This window comes from Homo sapiens, chromosome 20 (assembly GCF_000001405.40).
Source record: "Homo sapiens chromosome 20, GRCh38.p14 Primary Assembly".
Taxonomy (NCBI): domain Eukaryota; kingdom Metazoa; phylum Chordata; class Mammalia; order Primates; family Hominidae; genus Homo; species Homo sapiens.
In genome coordinates this window covers 24,689,932-24,694,811 of record NC_000020.11, presented here as the reverse complement: position 1 = coordinate 24,694,811, position 4,880 = coordinate 24,689,932, and positions in this window count along the sequence as shown.

Here is a 4,880-nt window from a genome sequence, read left to right as displayed (position 1 = left end):
AGAACAGTCACTTCCCTGGGGACAACCAGAGCCTGCACATCTAGCTTGTGTCCCTGGGGCCAGGATCCCATAGCTAGGGACTTGGAAGTCCTTTCTTCTGGCAGTTACCAAACCTATTAGCTCGTTAGAATCACCTCGCGATGTAAAAAAATAGATTCCTGGACCCCAACCCTGGAGATGCAGATTCCTAAGTTCTGCATTTTCTAATGGGTTCTGCAGACCTAGCAGTCCCAGTGTGCATGCTCGGGGCCATGGACTATACTGCAGGTGATGGAGAAGCTCAGGCCATCACCAGGTGCCGCAAAGTCACCCCAGAAAGGGCAGGAATCATCTGACTGTGTCCTGCCGACCCGTCTTCCAGTCAGTGTCTTGGCAACACCCCCTCTGCCTGGATTTCAGCCCAGGCCTTCCCTGCCTCTCCCTAGCAAAAGTCTGCCGAACTGGGGCCTCCTCCCAGGTTCTCTGGGCCCACCCACCCTAGAGGCTGCAACCACCGCTGCCCTCTTGGCTGCCCTCCTGGAGCCCCACTCTCCTTGTTCTACTTCCTATGTCCCTCCAGATCCCAGGGAATGGCCGAGTTCTGGCCGTGCTCCCACCAAGGGCCCAGGCCACTTCGTCCAGCCCCTCCTGGCCATGGTGTGTCCTGATCACACCTGCCCTCACAGGGCAGTGTAAGCCACTTGTGGTCTGTGCTGGAATGTCCCTATCCAACCCCCTGGGTACAAATCCATGGGTCTTTTCTGTGCCACGAGGTTTGGGGTACTCCCAAGAGGCCTCTCTCCCGCCACACTGGCCAACTACCTTATTCAGCCATGGCCTTTCCCAACCCAGGGAGGGTCTGGAGGCAGCAGGCTGGGGTCTCCGCACTTAGATTCCTGATATTTTTGTCGTTTTCATCCAAGGATTTGACCTTCCATCCACTCTTGAGCTCTGACTTCAGGCCCAGAGCCTCCGCCACCAGCTCCTTATGTGTTTTCCCAGGAGTGGAACCTGTGGAACTCGGGGGTGGGTGCTCAGGGTGCCCCCCACACCACACAGGTATGCACTGCAGGCACTCATGGCAGGTGCATGGGGCAGTGAGGGAGGCGAGTCCCCAGCTCTGTCCCCTCACGTCCCTCTTTGCTGACATCTGGACTTCTCATCTCCTGTGTCCTCAGCTCTCTCTGGCCCTTCCAGACTCCAGGCCTGGTTCTGACTCTCTGGCATCTGTGGCCTGCTTTCTGGCTGTGCCCCTGTTGCTTGGGTGGAAAGCCACCTCAGAGAATCTGGACCCAGGAGTGGTTCCAGCTAGCACCATGGGAACAAAGTTCAGTGTTTTCCAACCCGGTCTGCTGATCACTCCCATCACAGCCCGTGGGGACCCACCCCCAAACCTACTGAATTCAGAATGGCTGTGGTCGGGGTAAGGAACAAGCTTTTTAAAAAATACACATTTTATTCTGCAATAGTTTTAGAGTCACAAAAAATATGCAAAGATAATGTGAATGTTCCCATATGCCCCTCACCCAATTTGCTTCCTCTAATAGTATCTTACAGTATCAAGGTTCATTAGTAAAAAATAAGAAAGCAACATTGGCTCATTACAATTAATTAACTCTAGATTTCATCAGATTTCACTTGTTTTTCCATTAGCATTCTTTTTCTGTTCCAGAATCCAGTCCAGAGACCCAAGAATTATATTTTAAACAAGCACCCTGGGTTGTTCTCAGGCTCACTAGAGTTTGAGAAGCTTGATCCATTTACAAGTCACAATTTAAAGATGAAGTTAAAGCTCAGAGAGGCCCAGGGACATGCCAAGTTCCCTTAATTAGAGGAAGTGCTGGGGACTTGGGGCCTGCCAGTCACGGCACTGTCACCAGTCCCACATGAAGCTCTGACCCTGGCTCCGCTTTGCACCCTCCAGCCATGAGGTGAGGGACGGGGACCACAGCAGTAGCTCAGTCTTCGAGAGTAAGCGGTCAGTGGTGTTGCAGTCTCAGGCCAACGCACCTGCAACGCTGGACCTGGTGGGCTCTGTGCTGTCTCCACAGTGAACTACACAGCATGGAGTTACTGCCATCGAGGAACACCATCCTTCCCTGCTTCTCTGAGCCTGCACTTGTGATCTGAACCTGTACCCAGGCCCCAGCAGGCTGCCAGAGCAAGTCGATGGGGCCCTGCCGACATGGAGCTCTGCATCACTGGCCGCTTCCTCAGCCCTGGCTGGCCCCGCACCATGCCCTCTTTTCACCCTGCAGTCCTGCATTCCCCATGCCAAGGGCCCACCTCGCTGCAGTTTTAAGACCACCCAGGCTGGTGTGCAAAGGGAAAGAGGAGGCCCTCCTCCCGACCCTGGGCTCATCCAAGCTGCAGTCTCCTTGCCTCATATAAACTATTCTCTCTTCTTGGGATGCGTTTTTCCACCTTCCTGCCTACACCTGCGCTGTCCCATACTTTGCCCACTGGCAGGATGTGGCTGTTTAAATAAAACATTCTGCTTCACAGGTGCACCAGCCACATTTCAAGTGCTCAATAGCAAGGTGTGGCTGGTGGCTGCTGTGGTGCATGGGCAGGAGCAGAATATCCCATGGTGGCAGAAGCCTCTGATGGAGCAGATACTCTAGTCTGAAGACATCCATCTGCACATGATGAACAAGGCTACAGGGAGGAGAGGGGAACCAGGTTCAGGGGCACATTGCGGGTGGGTCTGCTGGATTCACACCAGCTAGACTCTGAGCTCCACGGTGGCAGCCAGCTCAACTCCTGCAGAACCAGCTCAGAGAGCTCCATCCCACCTGAGCGTCTCCTCTCAGCACAAGCTGGTGGCTGTGGAGCAAGGCTGTGCTCTCTACACCCAGGAGACCTGGGCACCTGTCGAAGTTTCCTAGAGGGCTAGTGGCAGGAAGAGAATGGGCCAGTTCCTAGCCAAGGCATAAGGTGGGGCTTGGTTACTTGGAAACCTCAGGGAGGTAGAAGACAGAGATGGCCTGGAGCAAGCAGCAGCCCACACCTGCTGGAAAAGTTTAGCTTGTGAAAATGGATTTTCCACAAACACGGAAATTGGCAATTTCCCCTTAGGATTATATATGAGGGAAGTAATCTATTTGAATAATGCTGTGAAATAAAAGACATTCCCGTTTCTCGTTGTACCCCTTTCCTCCTTTCTAATGGAACAAGGCAATCTTGGAAAGTGCAGAGGGATGAGACGCAGGCAACAAAAATGCCTTCATCCATTTGCCTTGATAGGGAAGGGCTCTATGTATGTATAAGGAGAAAATTTCTGTGATTTATTTACTATTTTAAAGTGCAAAGGCTGGGCGCGGTGGCTCACGCCTGTAATCCCAGAACTTTGGGAGGCCGAGGTGGGTGGATCACGAGGTCAGGAGATCGAGACCATCCTGGCGAACACTGTGAAACCCCGTCTCTACTAAAAATACAAAAAAATTAGCCAGGCGTAGTGGCGGGCGTCTGTAGTCCCAGCTACTCCAGAGGCTGAGGCAGGAGAATGGCATGAACCCAGGGGACGGAGCTTGCAGTGAGCGGAGATCACCCCACTACACTCCAGCCTGGGCAACAGAGCGAGACTCCGTCTCAAAATAAATAAATAAATAAATAAATAAATAAATAAATAAATAAATAAAGTGCAAAATCGGTAGGTATGCATAGGAAACATCGGAGCTTGCCTGTGCACAGCCGTTCATGGATGTTGTCTTTGAGAGTGAGGTTGTGAGGAATTTTCACATTCTCTAAATTATAGAATGTTAAAAATAGCAAGCATGCATTGTCCAAATACATAAAATGAAAAAAAAAAAAAAGGAATTGCAGCATACGAGGGATGGAGCCACTCAGTCTTCATTAGATAGTCAGGGTTTGGACTCAGCGATTTTTTGGTTTCCCCAGGTGCCTTAAGAACCTACATCTAAACAGCTTATTAGTCTCAATTCTATTTGTAGATTTAAAGATTTTTTTTGGAGATGAGAAAAAAATGGCAGATAGGAGGCATGAAGAACTTGTACTTCCCGCTCAGACAGAGAGAGCAGCCTGTGGAGAATCACATCATGAACTTTTGCTCCAAGAACTGCTGCAGGAACATACCAGGAAAGACAAGAGAATCCACAGACCCTTTGAAGGAGGTGAATTGCTACTGCAGGCTCCATGGAACAGCTTGCTTTCTCAGTGGGGAGGCAGCTAGCTTGGGGCAAGTTTTCAGCCCTGCTCACCAGCCACCTGGGACAACTTGGTGCTGTTGTTGGGGGCATGGTGGGAGTGAGACCAGCCTTTTGAGCTGTGGGCTGTGTGGAAGCTGGTTGAGGACAGCAACACAATAATAGTGGGGGACTTCGATACTCCACTGACAGCACTAGACAGGTCATCAAGACAGAAAGTCAACAAAGAATGGACTTAAACCATACCCTAGAACAAATGGATTTAACAGATATTTACAGATCATTCTACCCAACAATAGCAGAATATCCATTCTATTCAAAAGCAGATGGAACATTCTCCAAGATAGACCATATGATAGGCCATAAAACAAGTCTCAACAAATTCAAGAAAACTGAAATTATATCAAGTACTCTCTCAGATCACAGTGGAATAAAATTGGAAATCAACTCCAAAAGGAACACTCAAAACCATGCAAATACATGGAAATTAAATAACCTGATTCTGTACGATTGTTGGCTCAACAATAAAATCAAGTTGAAAATTTAAAAATTCTTTGAACTGAATGATAACAGTGACAAAACCTACCAAAATCTCCGGGATACAGCAAATTCATTGCTAAGAGGAAAGTTCATAGCCTTAAATGCTTACATCAAAAAATCTGAAAGAGCACAAACAACCAACCTAAGGTAACACCTCAGGAAACTAGATAAACAAGAACAAACCAAATCCAAACC